Source organism: Homo sapiens, chromosome 2 (genome assembly GCF_000001405.40).
Source record: "Homo sapiens chromosome 2, GRCh38.p14 Primary Assembly".
In the NCBI taxonomy this organism is placed as follows: Eukaryota; Metazoa; Chordata; class Mammalia; order Primates; family Hominidae; genus Homo; species Homo sapiens.
In genome coordinates, this window is record NC_000002.12 from 207,231,656 (window position 1) to 207,251,736 (window position 20,081).

Consider the following 20,081-nt stretch of genomic DNA (forward strand, 5'->3'; position numbering starts at 1 on the left):
CCAGAAAACCCAGCTGATTCACAGGAAACCCTGAGCTGAAGGTTGCCTGGGTTTTGAGTTGCTTATGCACACAATTCACACTCCATGTGTCAGAAGCCCCCTCCATTCTGCAAATCACTCAGTGAGCCTGAAAAGTGGGAAACTGGCTTTGTACTGTCTCTGGCTCCCCCCTGAACAGTCAAACCCCAGGATGCCCACAAAATATTTGATTCCTTGTAAACTCAAAACAACCATCACAAAGAAGGAGAAAAGGTCAAATCCTCAAGTGAGGCACCCAGAGTGAACAGCCTGAGATATTGGAAAAGGTAAGCTGAGAAAATACTCAGACTCCTCTAGCAGAAGCTAAAGATAAAACATGGCTTGCTTCGTGCCCAAGGCAGACATTGAGCAGATTCCATTCTGAGAAGTTCATTGGAGGGTGAGGTCTCCTTCTCCATACGCACCCCCTCTGTCATCCTCTCTGGTATCCAGTCTTGCCTCCTGGCATGCTATGTTTTTCTTTGTCCCCTTCCTTCTAGCTGAAGCAAATACTCTGTTACTAATAATTGTGGTTACCCACGTCATTCACAGACAATATTTTCAAGGCAATAATCATAGAATACCTTAGTGAGGCATTAGATTCTGAGGACTTTGGATATATATGCAGATTGCTTTATACAAACAGCCAAACACGTCCTTTCACACATGTGCAGAATCTAAGAACTGAAATATGATTGAAGTCACACCCCCCTTTCCTGAGGGAATCCTGCATTGACTTACTGGTCTGTGTGGGTTATAAAGACCTAGTCCCCTTGCCCTGATTCAGGACATCTCTGAAAATCCGTTCCAGCTCCAGAGTGCCCCTTTAAGACATGGGAAAACAAAACAAAACAAAACAAACAAACAAAAAATGCCATGCTGCATCACAGTCCAACATCTCCCTATGCTCAGTCCTGCTTTACTTACTCCCTCAACAATGTTGACCCTGAGAACACTTCCCAATGAACTTATTGCATTAAATTAAAAAAAAAAAAAAAAAAGAAAAGCTAGAAAAGACTGAAGAGGTCTTAAAACCCAACCCCCTACGCAGTCCGCCCAGTAGGACTCGCTTCTGTGCTATCCTAGAGATAATCAAATGGCCTTCCCTTTAACCTTCCAAGTGTTTGGGGTTTCCAGATTCTTACACAGAAGTGAAGAGGAGAAAATGCTCTTTGGGGTAGGCAAATCTCTGACATCAGAGACGTTTGACACCATGAAATTCTGTAAGGTGATGAAGTAGGGTCCAGAAAGAGAAAACAGCTGCTTGGCCAAAGGGTGCTACATGAAATTATTAAAATGTGATGCTTGGTCAGGTGAGGTGGCTCATGCCTGTAATCCCAGCACTTTGAGAGGCTGAAGTGGGCAGATCACTTGAGGCCAGGAGTTCAAGACCAGTCTGGCTAACATGGTGAAACCGCATCTCTACTAAATATACAACAAATTAACTGGGCACAGTGTGGTGGTACATGCCTGTAATTCCAGCTACTCAGGAGGCTGAGGCAGGAGAATCACTTGAACCTGGGAGGCAGAGGTTGCAGTGAGCCAAGATTGTGCCACTGCACTCCAGCCTGGGTGACAGAGAGAGACTCTGTCTCAAAAAAAAAAAAAAAAAAAGTGTTGCTCCAGTATATGTGAGTATCAAAATGCTGACAGAGAGAAAACATCAAATAGTACTCTGGTATTGTAGGCTGAATGTTTGTGTCCCTCCAAAATTCATATGTTAAAAACTAATCTTCCATGCAGTAGTGTTAACAGGTGGGGACTTTTAGGAGATAATTAGGTCACAAGGGCTCCACCTTTATGAGTGGTATTAAGTAACTTTGTAAAAGAAGCCTGAGGGAGCTTGTTTGCCCCTTTTGCCATGTGAAGACACAGCAAGAAGGTGCCATCTATGAAGTAGAGGATGAGACCTTACCAGACACAAAATCTGTTGGTGCTTTGATCTTGGGCTTCCCAGCCTCCAGAAGCAAGAAAATTCTGTGATCAAGAAATTTCTGTTTATAAATGACACAGTCTAAGGTATTTTTATAGCAGCCCAAACAGACTAAGACACCTAGTGTCCTTTCCCTTATAAAACCAAGCTAATGAAGGAATACAGTGGGCAATCCTGCCAAGAGTGGTATATAAACAACACAGGGAATTTATGATAAAAGGCCAAGGAAATGGGCAAGAAAAAAGGAGCTGAGAAAACAAGGACACTGCAGAGAGAACCATTAAACAAGCATCATGCTCCTGGCTTATCTCCTTTGCACACTGAGCTCCCAGAGGCTTCCAACAGAGCTCAGCACAGTGAAGACCAACACAGAGAGAGTTTGGCTTGTCACATGTCTAGCACAGCAGAGAAAAGTTGAACGAGAGGCTGTAAAACATGGAGTCAGCCGATTTCTAATAGTGAATCTGGATATTAATTTTTGCAATTTTTGCGGTTACTGTCTACAGAGATGGTTATCAATGTTTTTGATATGGCCTAAACTAAAGATGGAGAAAAAGTGAGTTGATGATGAGTTGGTGTGGATCTTCTTTTGGTAGGAGAAGAAGTTTTATCTGAGATCAGACTCTAGATTGTAAAAGAAAACTCCCCACAAAGGGACAAGCAATTTGTATGAGTGTGTGTCAGGTCCAGAACAAGACATTAGGGGTGGTAAGACCTGTGGACCTTTGTAAAATATATTCCAAACACTTTGCTGGCTGAACAATTACGTTTGTGGCTAAATTTCACTGCTGGTCTGCCAGTTTGCAACTCCTGCTCTAAAAGGTGACTGTCTTCCCAGATAATCTGAAGCTATCATCTGCTGCTCACACTCAGAGGGTGAACTGATGGCCTTACAGTTAGGCTTCTGTTTTATTCCTCGTCAAAGAATAGCCTCCCCCCACCATCCCTACCCCCTCCGCCAACTCCTCTCTGGTGTTTGCAGCCACCATCCCTATCACCATTTCTAGATTAGAAAAGAAGGCCAGTGGAACTGCCAAAATGGAGAGGAAGAAGGAGACCAAATTGGGAAAGAATGTTGGACAACATTAGCAGAAAACTAAAGGCAGGGTGAACACTGTTCCTCCAAGGTTGCTCAGATATAATATCCCAGCTATTTATGTAGACTCCGACTTCAGCATCTGAAGACAACTTCCTCATTCTTGAAGAAAAGGAAAGCATGGACATCTATTCAATACCTGGACCATGTCAACCAAATACCAGCTACCTTACCCCGAGGGTCCCAGAAGAAAGCAGGGTGGAGATGTGACCAAACTCTACATTTTTCCTTTTAGCCCTGAAGATTCTGATTCTTAGGCTACAGTTCAGTTAATTTTCCTTATTTAACAAGTCAATATGCCTATGAAAGCAGGAATACAGGAACCAAAGGAATAATCCATACATTAAATGTTTGAAACCAATACTAATACAGACTAAAACTTAAAGAACTTAGGCTTAAACTGTGAACATGCAGACAAGAAAATTACTTCTGTTTTCAAAGCTCCTAAGCAAAGGCCCCACCTCCCAATGCCACACACTGTTCTATTTTCTGAGGCTGTGATCAAAAGCACATACCGGCACTAAGTACCTGAGATGAAAGTGGGAAGAAAGACAATAAATTCAAAACCAAAATCAAATGGAGTCATTTACAATGGGACCACCCAAACTTCACATTGGAAAGGAAATAGAAGAATTTGTTTTAAAGCAGAAACATCTTCTAGAATGATTTCTCTAACCCACTTACTTTACAGATAGAAAGACTAAGGTTAAAAGTGGTTACGTGATGAGACCATACCTCAGTCAGCTCGGTCTGCTAGAACAAATTACTGTAGAGTGGGTGGCTTACACAATGTTTGTTTCTCATGATTCTGCAGGTTGGGAGGTTCAAGAGCAAGGATCCATTGGCAGATATGAAGTGCAGTGAGGACTCTCTTTCTGGTTTGCAGACAGCTGTCTTCTCTCTGTATCCTCACAAAGTAGAGAACAGAAAAAGGAAAAAGCAAGCTCTCTCCTGATCCTTCATATGAGGGCACTAATCCCATTCATGAGTCCCCAACCTTGCGACCTAATGACCTCCCAAAGGCTCCACCTCCCAATGCCATCACATTGGGGGTTAGGATTTCAACATACCAATTTTGCAGGGAGCACAACACAAAGTCCATAACAGACCAACTTTATGTGCTAATTATTACTTCAGGGCTTGAGGATGTTGAGTCATGTCATAGTTTCCATTTCGAATTTCATCTCCAATTGGTTAAATAATTTCATCTCATTCCTGAGACTATTTGTGTCTCGGCTTCTCCCCATTTGAAAACACTCTTTAAACTCCTAAAACTTGACATTCAATTTGACAAATACGTATTAAGCACCTCATCATGTGTACCCAGCTCTATTCTAGGTGCTAGAGATCCAATGGAGAGGAGTCTGTGGAGAATAAGATGAGAAAGGAGCTTATGCTCTGAAGGGAAGATGTTTAGAAGCATTAGTTGACCAAGAATATCAAATGTATTAATATCATTTTGTTGCAGTTAATTTCTTCATGTAACTTAGATCATCTCATTCCTTTACATGGGTGTTCTTTCATAAAAAGAACTTGGGCTTTCTCAGAAACTAGATCCAAAGACATGACTTGTAATATGTGTCAGTACTATTGTTATCACAGGATTAAAAATAACAATGCTAAGGCAGGTTGCAGACATTGTTTACATCCACCCCATGACCTCTAGCACCAGTCTACATAAGAATACAGCAACTTCTGGAATGGATTACGGAGGGGCACTGGAAGAGTATTAGAAGTAGACTAGTAAAAAGGAAAAGAAAAAAAAAAAAGAAGAGAAAGAATGGAGAAAAACAACCAGGAGGGAGAAAAAATAACACTAATAAAAAGAAGGTGGAGCTAGAGAATGAAATAGAGAGAGGCAGAGAAAGCATACTGGGACTAGGTAGAGGCCAGGGAGGGACAACCTACGCACATCATTTAGGGAGGTGCTCATTCTTGAAGGGCCTAGATGTCTTGCTTTCCCCACCCTTGTCCCAGCCCTGGTACCAAGGGCCCCTTAGTGACCACATCAGTGCCACTGTTACCCAACACTGGCCAGTAACACATGTAATACCATCTGGGCATAGAGGAAGAAAAACTGCTGAATTAAGTTCTCTCTTTTATGCCACTCCTTCCCAAAGCTGCTCTTTCCTTCCAGGCCACACCAAGGTCTCTTCCTCTCTATTCAGGCTTGGTGAGCTGTTGAGCATTTAGGGATTGTTGCTTACTGCATGTAACTTTTGTGTCTCCAACTGGTGTGTGAGCAATCTGAAGACAGGCACCATGTCTAACTGTCCAGAAGGCCAAGGAAAGGATGGGTACACAGTAGCTTCTCATTAAATGACTGAATGAATAATTGATCAATTGGTTAGTTGTGATGATATTGCTCATCTGCAGAGCTGGAAACAGAGATAATGAACTTCAGTTCATTATTTGACCTTGGGCCATCCACTCATGCCTGCATCCCCTGAAATACAAGAGATCCCCTATCCTGTTCCCCTAAGCATCCACATCATCATACACAACAGGTATTATAAGAAGAGCTGATTGAGGGTGATACTACATTTGTATTAGAAGCCCTAGTGAACAACAGCAGAAAAAGCAGAATATAAAGCAATCCTCTCACTAAAAAATATTTAGTTTACTACTATCTTTACTTGAATAAGAGAATACCCAGATTGCCATACACTTTCATTTATAGGGGGAAAAAATCTACTGTGTATGCAGCTGGAATTCAAAAGAATGAAATTTCCATAGGAAATCCCCCATTTCCAATCCAGTTAGACTACTGTTAGTTGAGATTTTAATCCCAACATTACAAAGGAATGAAAGTCTTTGGGTCTTTTTACATTTTGTAAATAATCCTTTAAACACAAGGAGGAGCTTTAACCACTGTATAACACCTGTCTGGGGCATGTAATCTGCCCTGGTCCTTCAAACCAGCCTGGTCCATCCGCCTGGCAGACACAATCTGGCCTATACAGGTGAGTAGTGAACAATTGCAGGTGGTCAGGACAGCCACCCTCAAGGTGGCTCAAGATAAGGAATCTGACCTTATCTTGGCACCACTTCTAAACTACTAGATCTGCAACCCTCTTTTGGCCAACTTCTTTAGAGTCCTGTTTGGGCAAGGCCTACCTGGTGTTGGTCCTTAGTGTGCTCCTTCTCTGGACTCCCATGGGCAGCACAGCTCTTGCCCCATGCGACATGCCACATGGCTGGTATTCTGACTCAGCCAACCCCGGTGGCCCTGTGAACACAGTGACAGACACTGGGAAGCCATTCACAAACCAGAATGAAGCACTTGCTAAAGTCTCAGTTGGACTGAAACAAGGTCTGCACGTGGCTGGCAGGTGAAGCGAGGCAGAACCCCCATCCCTGCTGTTATTTACTTCAATGTTTGTACCTGGGGTCTGAGGGGCCTTCAAGGAAATACATGTTTTCTGTCTACTGATGGGGTTCAAATATGCACCCAGACAAGATGTCTCTGACAGACCAGGAAGGAAGGGAGAAGGGGAGGCAACTCAAGGCAGTTTGCAGGGAGGAAAGGTAGGCACCTGAAAAAGACCAGACCCAGACCGTGAGGAAAAGACCCTGGAGTGTGGACCAGACTCAGTAACAGACCCTGAAAAGCTGAGGGAAGTCGAGGTTCTGACTCAAGCTGGTGGCAGATATTCGAGCACTCCCCACTCAAGACACCTGACGTGGGTGCACCAGTGAGAGAAAGGATAGAGCGTGTGAGATGAAAGGGCTGGTCTTATTAAGCCCTACAATACTCTGGGGTCCAAGCAATCCTGCTGTGGGACCCTGCTAAGTGAACATAATGCCGAGGAAGAACAGCTCTCCTCTTTTTGCCAAAGCCTGCCAAGGTGTCAAGGCTTGAGAAAGAGTGGTGGGTGCCACAACAGAGATCAGGTTCAGCCATCAAGGCCAGCAACAGTGCAGCAGCTCAGCCCAGAAGACTGGGCTGACATGCAGGCCTATGTTAGACGTCTCTTGGGAACTCTTAGGCATATCTTTTGGTGAAAGGGTGCAGGGGATGGAGGGGAAAGTTGGCAAACTTTTACAGAATTGGTGGGGATGTGAGTACCAAATACAATGGGACCTTGCTCACCTGCTGGTAAAGCTTGAGGATCATTTAGTTACACCGGAGTTCTGAATATTCTAGTCCCTTTTAAAGGATGTCATGAGATGTCTGATCTACCAGGACCAGCCCTGCTATTCTGCTCTGTCCTAGTAATCAGAGGTCTCTAACCTCTGAACCACCAAGAACTTGAGCTTCCATGATTACAGAGAAGGGCTCTTTCTCCCATGTAGAGAACTAGGAAGTAGCTGGTGACCACTATGTCCACATGGGCTCCCTCACCCGATCATCAAGGTCCCCTGTGCTATCCATAGCCTTCCCTCACCCTGGCAAAGGTGATGCAAAGCCTTTACTCTACACACCCATCCAACCTGAGCCTTATCATCTAACATACTCACATGGGGTCTTATTGTACTCTATGCACCCCCAGTTCAAGAGGATGACAAGCGAACCTTACTGTAAATATCTTTTCATGTTTCTAATCCTCCCACACATGCCTCCGGTTTCCTCCCTGGCCCTCCAAGCTTACAGTCTGTTTCCTTCTGTGGTGAAGTTGGGCAAGTTCCGATGCTTGGGGTGGAGAGCCATGAATCATGAGTGAGAGGCTCTGGGAACACCAAGTCCACACTACTCTACTTACAAGTCCTAAACTGCCTAGTGGGATCCAACGCTGACCCCAGTGGAGTTCTTTACCCATGACTGGTGTCCTCAGGAATGTGTCTGTGGGAAGAAAAGTCTCAAATGCTGGGGAATGGAGCCATCGATAATTTCTTTCCTATGTTGGAGTGCAAGAGAGCCCCTAAGGCTGGAGCACTCCCCAAGTAAGCAGGCAGAGACAGAGACCTGAGTCCTACTGCTGAGTCATTTAAATCTGCTTTAGATCGGGTTTTCCCAGGGCATGGAAAGGACAGGGCTCCCAGTGGAGATATCATGTAGCTATAGGGCCTAGAAGTATTTTTTCAGTAGATGAAATTTAGAAATAATTTGAATATTTTATGCTGGGGAGGTAGCTTGTGGAGTGAAATGGTCGGGTAAAGGAAACACTGAGTTCAAGTGCTTCTTTATAAAGGACACTTAACTGATCTAAATATTTGTCAAGCTGAATCGCTACATCCACTCTCACCTGCCTGAAATCAATATGCTCAAGTCAAACGCATTTGCCTGCATCTGAATGTGGAGAATGAACTTCTTAAAGCTGAACTGGCAGCTGGAAGGGGAGAGAGAAGAGCTGGACAGGGAGCCAGGACACCGGAGTTCTTTTCCACTGTGGTGGGATCTGGAAGAAGCTGTTGAATCTCTGTAGAGTTAGCTTTTAAATGCTGTGAGTCTTTGGAAAGCTGTGCGAATAACTGCTAAACACCCAGGACAGCTTATGCATTTTTTGAAAAAGGTAAGTACTTATCTGTTGGAACAAAAGCTCCTCTTTTTGTTTTAGCCTTGAATTCTCAGGCAGTGAATGCACTACCGTGTGCAGAAGGCAAGGACATGGCTGAGCATGTTGTTTTCTTCACCTTATATGGAGCTTCCTTAACAGGTCTGTGCCAAGGTCTTTTCATTCTGAATCACTTGAGCTCTATTCAAAGAGGAGACAGATAAAAAATTAACTGAGTACAGTGGCACACACCCGTAGTCCCAGCTACTCGGGAGGCTGAGGTGGAAGGATCACTTGAGCCCGGGGGAGATTGAGTTTGCAGTGAGCTGTGATAGTGCCACTGCACTCCAGCCTGGACAATAGAGTGAGACCCCAATTCTAAGAGAGAGACAGAGAGGTTGGGAGGAGGGAGAGAGGAAGGGAGAGAACTTTGGGACTTTGATTTATCCTTGTTTTCTACCAGATACTTGCAAAATGGGAGCCATCTGGTGCTAAAAGAAGGCCTGGTGTTTGCTGCCTTCTCTGGGGGGTGTTCAACAGGGGTATTAGCACCTGTGTTAGGCCCCACCATGCACACACACATACATATGTTCAGTTATGTGCTGGCTCCTTGTGACTGAGTGAGTATCAGGAAGGACTGGGGATTCTGTGGCTTTCATTGGCCACAAATGAGTCCACACAGTTCTCCAGCAGTGGTGCATGCAGGGACCAGGTCCCCCGATTCCCCAGTCACCACAGCTGTGCAACCAAGAACACACTGTATCTTGTGGCCAGCCCTTTTCCTGTGGAGGAAAAGGTACTTCTGAGCCTGTACATGCCCTTTATGCCTTGGTCTGGGAGGGAGAATGTGGCAATGAAAAGTCACCACTTTTATTGCCATCCTTAATATGGTTGATTAATTGCAAAAATACCCTCAGCCCTTTGCCCCTGCCTGAGGCCACACCTTTGCAATGTGACTTTGCATTTGCACCCATCAATAAGTGGAGTCTATTTCTCCATCCCTTACATCTAAGCCTGCCTCGGAACTCACTTTGACCAACAGAATGTGGTATAAGCGATGATGTGCCAGTTCTGAGCCTCAGCCTCAACAGGTTTTGGGCACTTCTTCCCTCTCTCTCTCAGACCCCATGATTACCCTGCAAACAAGCTCACACTACTGGATGACAGAGACATACGGCCCAGTCATCCTGTCACCATCACTGTTTGTCAAACAGCTGCCTGACATATGAGTAAAGTCTTCCTAGACCAAGCAGCCCTCAGCCATCCTGCCAGCTGACCACAGATGCACGAGCAAGTCAAGCCAAAATCACTCAAACCTGGCACAAGTCAACAGGCTGGTGAGCAATAATAAATGCCTGTTGTTTTCAGTTACTGAGTTTTGGGGTGACTTGCTACACAGCAATACCTGACTGATACACTTACTCATGACAGGTTGGTGTAATACTAGCCGTTGGGCATTCAGATACTTTATTTCACAGATTGACTGGATTCCTGCCATATATATAACCAGGATTGTTCCAGGCTCTGTGGATACAATATCTCTGCCCTCCTAGAGTTTACATTCTAAAGGATGAAGACAAACCACAAATAAATAAATGAGCATGTAAATAACAACAATATCAGCATTAGTAAGCAACATACAGACCATTTAAAAGATTATATGATAAAGAATAACCGTGCATTACTGGTCTGGTGTCCAGGGAAGCCACACTGAAGAAACATTTAGACAGATCTGAATGTCAGTGTAGAGTGGGCCATGTAAAAATTGGAGAAGAGCACTCCAAGCAGAGGGAATTGCAAATGCCCAGGCCTCAAGGTTGGACTATGGTGTCTGAAAAAACAGAAAGAAGACTGTGCCTAAAGCACAGTGAGAAAGGGTATGTGGGGAGGGAATGGAGAGAACAGGTAGGGCGTTTAAGCCAACGTAAAGAATTTGGACTTTATGCTAAATGCACTGAGCAAGCTATTATCACTTTTAAAATAGGAGAGTAACATATCTGATTAATGTTTAAATGGATTCCTCTGGCTGATGGGCACAGAGTGGTTATTAAGGGGAAGACATGGAGGAACTGAATCAGTTAGGATAATGCAGACTGAGCCAGGTTTACAGCAATGGAGATTAAGAGATCAAATGTGTTTTGGAGGAAGAAGTGACAGGACTTGGGATGAATTGGATGTGGGAGTCAAAGGAGAGAGAGGAATCAGGATAACCCCTAGATCTTGGTCCAGTAACCGAATGAACTGAAATGCAAGAAACTCATAGAGGAGCAGGTTTAGGGGCTGGACATTCAAGTCTGTGGTGCCTGTTAGGACAAGGGGCAGGCCTGGTGTTTTGGGAAGGGGTCAGCACTGGAGGAACAGGTTGGATGTCACTGGCATAAATCTTAGACTGGATGAGGTCACTGGAGGACAGCAATTAGGAGTGACAAGAGCCCAGGACAAAGACCTGGACATTCCAACATTTATGGGTCGGGCAGTTGAGAATGAGCCAGCAAAGGAGATGAAGAAGAAACTGCCAGTAACGTGAGAGACAGATGTGGAGGTCTCCAAGACCAAGAGAGGAGAATGGGCAAGAAGACGGCCGTGGTCCATTGTGCTAAATGCTCCTGGCACATATAGGGGACAAGGACTTTGTTGCATTGAATCTGGCAAACATTCAAATGCATTGTGCCTTCCTTAGGGCAATAATGAATCACAGAACCTAAAGTGGATTGTAAAGTTATTATCTGGACTCTCTGTCCTACAGGCCTCTACTCTAGATAGCTGGGATTAGTTAATACCAACCCCTGCCCCTACTTAATCCTTGTTCCCATTGGTTCAGTTATTCCCCAAACTCCATGACTCTCTCTGCAGGCCCAGAAATATAATGACCCATCAGGTTCATCAATATCTAAATTCTCTGGAAACCATAAGCTCCCTGAGGGCAAAGATGGTGTCTGTCTTGTTCATGCTGTATCCCATCACCTAGGATATTACCTAGCCACAAATACATTCTTAATAAACATTGGGTACATGGAGCAATGTTGAATCCCATTTGCCTTCCTACCATCAGTGCTGGCCCCCGTGTCCATGCTGCCACTAACTTATCCCCTGTGGACAGACGTGAGGCATTTTTTTCAACATTCCCCAAACTCCAGTTTCTCTGGGTTGGGGTCCTATCTTGCTCTTCGGGGTCTTTATAGGGCAGTATGCTATGGCTATGGCTAGGGCCAGATCCCCGGACTGCAGCTGACTTCTCAGCTGTAGATATCTCACTTGTGGGCTGGTGAGCTGCTCTTTGGTACCTGTGCCATCCCTACAGTTGGGAAAAGCTTAACCTTCACTACATCCAATGGTCTCATCTCCCTCGACCTCACCTTTAAGATTTTTATAAGTGTTTATTGTTGTGAAATCTCCTAATTGCTTTGTATTCAATTCACACATCTGCAGGGTCTGTATGGCTGGGTGATAGGAGGGGTTTGTGTCAGCTTGACCCGAAATATTGTCTCTGTAAAAGTCAAGTTTATAATACCTGGCAGTGGCATCAGGGAAGGTGCATGTGACTTTTTGACCCCTAAAAAGGCATTTCAGTTAATCTGCAATGCTCACCAGGATGTTTGTGTGTGAATCAGTATCAAAAGTTTCACTTTCAGGATTCCATTTGAACCCTCTCTCAAAAGAGGGCATTTGGTAACCATTCCACAGGAATCTAAAACCACTCACTTGCTCATCTGAGTACAATTCTGTTTTCTGGGACATGGTCAGGTGTTACAAGGCAGAGCCCTGAAAATTTAACCTCATTTAACCTGAGTAAATATCATCCTTTAATCATAATAATGGGGTTTTTTTTTTTTTTCAATTAAAGGCTTTGGTAATTATACTGAGCTTAACTTGGTAACAATTCTGCTACTACCTTCTACTGTAAGGATCTCATATTTGCTTGGCCTGTGAAAGGAAATTATCACAGAAGCAAAATCAGATTTTGGTTGAAGTCAAGACACATATTAAATCTGATGCTTCACAGCTGAACACAAGCCTCTCCACCTCCAATGGACTCCTCCTGACTGTGTGCAGACAGACACTTAATAAACGCTTTTGATGAAGGTCTCTCTGTCTTAAAAGGAAATTAGATTGTTCTGACAGTATCTCCTCATCACTAAACTGCTGGTTGCTATCCAGCAGCCTGTGATCCTCTAGGTGTTTGCAAATTGACTGTTTAATGTTTTGCATTTCTCTATGTCCACCTTTTTGGGGTGAGCAGCCACCTGTATAATTTCTGATATAGGTGATGTGTTTGTCTTTTGGTGGTGGTCTTGGCCATTTCATTGACACACACACACACACACACACACATATTTTTGTTTCAGAACAGTTTCCTAAGCTCCTCATTCATTCACTTTGTACATATTGATACCAAACCTATGGAAGGACATTAGGCTAATCCCTGGGGACACACTGATTAGACAGCAGATTCTTGTCCTTTTGGGGCTTAAAATCTAGTGATTGTAATTTCAGATAGTAGTTAGGGCTATGGATAGAATAAATTGGCACCACAATGGAGACTAGATGGGGAGAACTCTCCAAATAGAAACATTTTAAGCTGTGACCTGACGAATAAAGGAGGGAGAAGTAGAGGAGGAAGGAAGTGACAAAAGCAAAGACCCTGGGGTGAGAAAGCTTAATTTGTTCCAGGATCTAATGGAAGGCAAAGGGGAGTGGACATTGGGAAGAGGCTGAAACACGGGTGAAAGGTGGCCATGTTATCAGATGCCTTGTAGGTAGGGTGAACATACATCCCAATTTGCCAAGAATAGTCCTGGTTTAGACCTTTGTCCTTGTACAATTATGGACAGGGCCTCCTCTCACTCTCAAAAGTGTCCTGGTTTGCACGATAAGTTATCTGGTCACCCTGCTTTAAAAGCATGTCAAAGAGCTGGGTTTTTATCCCATGTGAGATGGGAAATCATTGAAGGGTATGAGGCAGGGGTATGGCAGGACTAGATTTATGTTTTCAGATTGTTTCATCGTCAGTCTGAAGGGAGCCAGGTGTGGAAGTGGAGAGAACTGTAGGAAGGCTATTGTAGTGGCTCAGGGAAGAGCTGAAGGTCAACTGAGCGTCACATTTAAAAATAGATTACACTAAGCAACATTCTACCATCTTCTTTCTTTCAGGTTCCTGGTGCTGGTTCCAGCAGAATAGACACAGAGATGCATGGCCTAACTCCCACTCCCTCTTCAGGACTGAGCCACGCAGCCCCCCATCTGCCAGAAGTGTTAGCTGTTGACGGCTCACAGCTGAGTCCCTCTCCAGGCATTGCTGAAAAGAGCCACCTTGCTCTAGGATGTGCCCCCACCCTGGGGGCAGCATACATTCCAAGTGATTAGTCCATAGTGTGGTACAAAGGTTGTACCCATCTTGCCTGAATTCAGGATCTCTTGGAAAACCACCCCAGCTCTGCAGCTCCTGGTGGGGTGCTGAGGCCTCTGCTGCAGCTGCATCGCAGTTTACTTTCCCCTCTGCCTAGTCCTGCTGCCTTCACTCCCCAACAGGTATTGTTCCCCAGAGAACTCCCTGCCCCCAGTCACCTGTAAGCAAATCTCCACTGCAGTCTGTGGCCTGGGAAACCTGCTCTAGGATCCCAAAGTGAACACAGCTTCCCATTGAAATGTGTCTTTGGGTGTTAATCTGTCCTGCCATCTTTACATCTAATCAAGAGGTAGAGCTTCCCCTGGTGTTCCTGCTGGGTACATAAAGGATCTTTTCCATTGTCTTTTATGTCGTTTGTAAATTGAATCACCTCATTTGTTCTGACCTGGATAATTTTCTCCGTTAATGCTTGTGTTGGTTCGCAACACTGGGTCTCTGTAAGCAGACACCCTTACCACTTTTTATTGCATCCCAAGTACTTATTTCAGATATTGTAAAACAACAGCTCTCCTTTAAACACCTTGATTTTCTATTACCTAAATTTAGTTTCTTCTTTTGGTACTTGAATTATTTCCTTAGGGAATGTAAAGATCCCATAAATTCCTTTTTTATTTCTTTTATTCATGAGATTATTCCTAGTACTTCTAGATAGTAATTTGAAATTTATTGAAATAAATTACAACAGGACCCCATTCTTTATAGTTCATTATCACCAAGAATGCAATATATCATGGATTAAATCATGCTCTCCCCAAATGTAACTACAACCAACAAAAGACTGATGCAGGGCCATTAGAGGATAATAGGAAAGAGTTGGCAATCTTTTCAAAGTAACGTGTTGAGTCTTCGCTCCTTCACAGGCATAAGGGGAATGAATGTGCATGTAGGTGAGCGAGTAAGAACCAGGAAAGGGTGGGGGCGTTTCCTCACACTTTAAGCACCGGGGATTTGCCCATGCATCTGGTGGGAAGTCTTTTGCCTGGTTTCCAGCCGTCTAGCCACATGAAGTCGCCAGTCCCCACCTCTGCTAATAGTAAAGATGACATGGGAAGAGAGAAGGGATGTCTACATAGACTTATACTTTAATTCTCTCCATTCACTCATTCAACAAATATTTTTCAGTTCCTCCATAGTACCATGCCCAGGTGGCACCATGCGAGATACAGAGCATCTCTGTACGCACTCTGACTCCTGACTTGAAATGTGCCTCTTGGTGCTGAATCCCATAACAGGGTAATAAAAATATTCCAATTTTTTTCCTTTTGGTAACTTTTTTCATTAAAATTCAAATTTTCTTCTATTTCAGATCACCCGCTCTGAACATGCCATCTACTGTGGAAATCTTCAATCTTTAATTAATTTTTCCTGTTACAGGAAGATTAAGTCTAAAAGGGTATCTCCCCTAGTTGATCCAGAACTAAATAACATTGTTTTCAGTACTTCCAGTAACTTGCTTACACTCTTACTTCTAAAGCATTGAATGTATCATCTTATGTGCTTGTCACCCCCAGCTTGTGTCATAGGAGAAAGTATACGGAGATCAGGTACAACTTCAGTTCAACAGCTTATGAGCTATTGGATCAGTCTCCTTATTAATCTCTCAGAGCCTCAATTTCCTTGTTTAAAATGGGGGCAATACCTACCTTAAGGAATTTCTTGAGGATCAAAAGAAACCCTAGTAACAAAGCCTTGAACCATGTCTGACTTATAGTATATATTCTAACTGCAAGTTCTTTTCATGTCTTGTCCATGAATTCTTCATTCATTCATTCATTCATTCATCCAACAACCAAGCATTCACTGATGCTCCAATTGTGCAAGACACTGTTTTAGGCCTTGAGAATACAAACTGCACAAGCAGGACAATGTAACCAGTGTTATGCAGGGTCTGGTCTAGTGGGAGGAGAAGACAGTGACCATGGCCCATGATGAGTGACAGAATGAAAAGTAATCAGGAAGATATGATAGGAAATACAGGGAGAATGGGAGAGTCTGCTTTATGTTGCATAATCAGAGGGCAGCTCTGGACAGGCAAAATTTGAGCTGAGACCTAAATGACAAGGAGTGAAGCCAATGGAACATCTGAAAGAATAGTTTTCTAGAAAGAGAGCCCAGCTAGTGTGAGCCCTAAAGTAGGTAGAAAATGGGCTTGGAGGGTTTTATATGAGGAGCAGCGGGAAGTAGGCAGAGGCCTGGTCATTGTAGGTCATGTTGGCTAGAGTAAAGAGCTTGTGTTTGATTCTCAGGGCAATGAAGAGCCTTTGGAGAATTTAAAGCAAAGTGGGGAGGGGGAACAAGAGCTGATTTACATTATTCTGAACAGCACCAGGAGGGATAGTACTGGATAATAAGAGTGGTAAAAGGAGACCATTTAGGAGGTTATAGCAATTGTCCAGGGTGGCCTGGCCTGCCACGGTAGCCACAGAGACGGTGAGAGGTGAGGAGGTGCCAGGTACCGTCATGGGAGACATAATGACATTCGATCAATGCTGAACTACATATATGACGGTGGTACCATGAGATTATAATGGAGCTGAAAAATTCCCATCACCTAGTGACCTCGTAGCTGCTGGAACATTGCAGGGCAATGCATACACACATGTATGTGGTGATAGTGGTGCACACAAACCTACTATGCTGCCAGTCCTATAAAAGTGTAGCACACAGGATTATGTACAGTACATAACACTTGATAATGATAACAAATGACTAGGTTACTGGTTTATGCATTTACCATACTATACTTTTATCGTTATTTTAGAGAGTACTCCCTCTACTTATTTAATAAATATAGTTAACTGTAAAACAGCCTCAGGCAGGTCGTTCAGGAGGTATTCTAAAGAAGGCATTACTATCACAGGAGATGACAACTCCATGCGTGTTATTGCCCCTGAAGACCTTTCAGTGGGATACAGTGTGGAGGTGGAAGACAGTGATACTGATGATCCTGACCCTGTGTAGACCTATGCTAATGTGTGCTTGTGTCTTAGTTTTTCACAAAAAAGGTTTAAAAATAAAAATACAAAAGAATAAAAAAGGTTATAGAATAAGGATATAAAGAAAGAAAATACTTTTGTACAGCTGTATAAGTGTTTGTGTTTTAAATTAAGTGTTATTACAAAGGAGCAATAGAGTTTTCACAAATTAAAAAGTTAATAAATGTTAAAAGTCACTGTAAGCAAGCTAAGGTTAATTTATTTTTGAAGAAAGAAATTTTAAAAATAAATTTAGTATAGCCTAAGGATACAGTATTTATAAAATCTACAGTAGTCTACAGTAATGTTCTAGGCCCTCACCTTCACTCACCACTCACTCGCTGACTCACCCAGAGCAACTTCCTGTCCTGCAAGCTTCATTCATGGTATCTTTTAAAGGTATGCCATTTTTTATCTTTTATACCATATTTTTACTGTACCTTTTCTGTGTTTAAATACTCAAATACTTACTGTTGTGTTACACTTGCCTACAGCATTCATTCAGTACAGTGACATGCCATACAGGTTGTAGCCAAGGAGCCATAGGCTGCATACCATATAGCCCAGGTGTGTAGTAGGCTACACCATCTAAGTTTGTGTTAGTACACTCTGTGATGTACACACAACTAAATTGCCTAACAGTGCATTTCTCAGAACATGTCTCCAGCATTAAGCAATGCATGACTGTATATATATCTTAGAGTAAGAGCCAGCAGGATTTAAAGCTGGACTGAACATAGGAGGGAGCTGAGGAAAGCAAGGGATCAAGAAGGATTCGTAGGATTTGACTTGAGCCATGGAACGATGGAGGTGCCATTATACACTGAGATAGCGAACACTGGGAAGGTGCACATTAGAGGTCCAGCAGAGAATCCTAACAGAGACCAGTACAGAATAAAAACCAAGAAAGTGTGAAAATACAAAAGCCAAGAGAATGGTAAGCAATGAGGGTATGATTCACAATTTTTATAGCCACTGGACTTACTTCGCAAATATTCCATCATCAGCAAACAGCTTTAAGCCCCGTCACCAAACTGGCAACCCCAAAAATCATTTTGGTACTCACTTCTCAAATACGTCAGTGTTATTGGGTTAAACTGTGTCCTCCTCTCCCCTCAGATAAGACATGTTGAAGTTCTAACTCCCAGTACCTTAGAATGCACCCTTTTCGGAGATAGGGTCGTTACAGAGGTGATCAAATGAAGATGAGGCTATCAGGGTGTGTCCTAATCTTCTATGATGAATGTCCTTAAGGAAAGAGGAAATTTGGACAGAGACACATACACAGGGAGAACATGGCGTGAAAATGAAGGCAGAGATCAGAGTGATGGAGCAGTAGCCAAGGAAGTCAAAGATTGCCTGCAAACTACTAGAAGCCAGGAGAGAAGCACAGGACTGTCTCATCCTCACAGCCCTCAGAAGGAACCAATCCTTCTGTCACCTTGATCTCAGACTTCTAGCCTCTAGAACTGTGAGATGATACATTCCAGTTGTTTAAGCTGCCCAGTCTGTGGAACTTTTGCTAGACAGCCCTGGCCAACTCCTACAGTCAGTGTGTCAGGAGGGCAACCACAGGTCTTCCAAAAGACAAAATCGCTTTCTGGGACAATGTTAGCCACTGTGGGCCATCTCCATGGGCTTTGTTCTTGGTATTTCAACATGGAACTTTGTTGCCTATGCTTGTAAACACTTGCAACAAAATTACACGGGGTGAGTACTGCTGGGGAGTGGTGGGTGATGCAGAAATCCCACATTTGCCGAGAAATGGAGAGAAGACCTCAAGCCTCAGGGAATAAATGAAACAGAACACATCTGAGGAAAGCAAAACCTGAGTACATGCATTCAATACTGAAGCAGTGAGAAGAACCTTCCATAAAGGAAAACATTGCCTATGCAGCATTCAGCCCCAGGAAGTAGCCCTGGGGAAAGGCAAGGTGAAGCTGCCCCACCCTGTTTGCCCAAATTAGTGATAACTTGTTTTGACAATGTACACATTTGGAAAGTCTCTTCTTTTACTCTACTCATTTCTGTTCCCATAAGGCACATGCTTGGTTTCTCTTTTTATCCTAAATTTATAAAATTCAAAAGAAAATATGACTTTTTTTTACTTTCAAAAATTTAGGAAGTATTCTTGAAGTATTCTAGTTAAGCTGGTTTTGATCATAAGGAACAGATACCCACAAATGTACTCAATTTAAACTGGGGTTGGGGGTGGGGGCTATTATCAGGATTTATATGAGGTAGTAAGAGGGAGATTCTATTGAAACCAAGAACTTCAGTAGTAAAAATAGACCACGCTTATGTAGTGTGCCAGTTGTTTTTTTGTTTGGTGTGTGTGTGTGTGTGTGTGTGTGTGTGTGTGTGTGTGTGAGACAGGGTTTCACTCTACTGGCCAGGCTGGAGTACAGTGACATGATCTTGATCACTGCAGCCTCCACCTCCTGGGCTCGAGCAATCCTCCTGACTCAGCTTCCCCAGTAGCTACAACCACAGTTGCATACCACTATGCTCAGCTAATTTAAAAAAATTTTTTGTAGAGATGGAGTCTCACCATGTTGCCCAGGCTGGTCTTGAACTCCTGGGCTCAAGTGACCCGCCTCGGCCTCCCAAACTGCTGGGATTATAGGTGTGAGCCATGGTGCACCAAGCTGAGCCAAATGTTTTTGTAAGGGCTTTATGTGTGTTAACTTGTTTGTTCCTCACCATATCCCTAAGAGGCAGATACTGTACTGATCCCCATTTTACAGAGGAGGAAACTAAGGTACAGAGAGGTTAAGTGCCTTTGCCCAAGGTTACACAGCTAGTAAGTGATGAGCCGGGATTTGAATCAATGGCTGGTGTCAAGGAACGTTCCTTAAAGTACAAGTCAGCTACCCCAGGGGAACCTGAATGGAACTGCAGTAGATTAGGGATTCTCCCTATTGCCCTCCATCTTCCCACCCTTCTCCCTCTTCCTCTCTCCCTCCTTCCACATTTCTACCTTTCCTCCACCTCCCTCCGGCCCTCTCAGCATTTCTGTTTCCCCTTTTGTGTGTGTCGGCTCTGTTCTGTTTTGGCCACTGACTTACTTTTTCTCTCTTTATGCTCTGTGTAGCTTCTACTTACTCCTAGCTTCTCAGCCTGGATATGGCCCACTGTGACTGTTCCAACCTCCCACTGCTCATTAGCTCATTGAGATTTCTTAGTACAGAATCCCAGTGGACAAAATCCTACTGGA

General features: G+C 43.6%; 2 long non-coding RNA genes across 2 annotated transcripts in view; one reads left to right on the top strand and one right to left on the bottom strand.

Moving 5' to 3' along the window:
* MYOSLID-AS1 (MYOSLID antisense RNA 1) overlaps nt 1-20,081 on the bottom strand; it is a 67,627-nt gene that overhangs the window by 44,966 nt on the left and 2,580 nt on the right. The window contains exons 2-3 of the long non-coding RNA NR_110283.1: nt 8,622-8,683; nt 6,165-6,276 (exon numbers count right to left, since the gene is read on the bottom strand). This is a non-coding gene — a long non-coding RNA (MYOSLID antisense RNA 1). The remainder of the gene's footprint in view (nt 1-6,164; nt 6,277-8,621; nt 8,684-20,081) is intronic.
* MYOSLID (myocardin-induced smooth muscle lncRNA, inducer of differentiation) lies at nt 8,156-14,232 on the top strand. The gene is made up of 3 exons (NR_146555.1): nt 8,156-8,431; nt 8,546-8,644; nt 13,634-14,232. It is a non-coding gene; the product is annotated as a myocardin-induced smooth muscle lncRNA, inducer of differentiation (long non-coding RNA).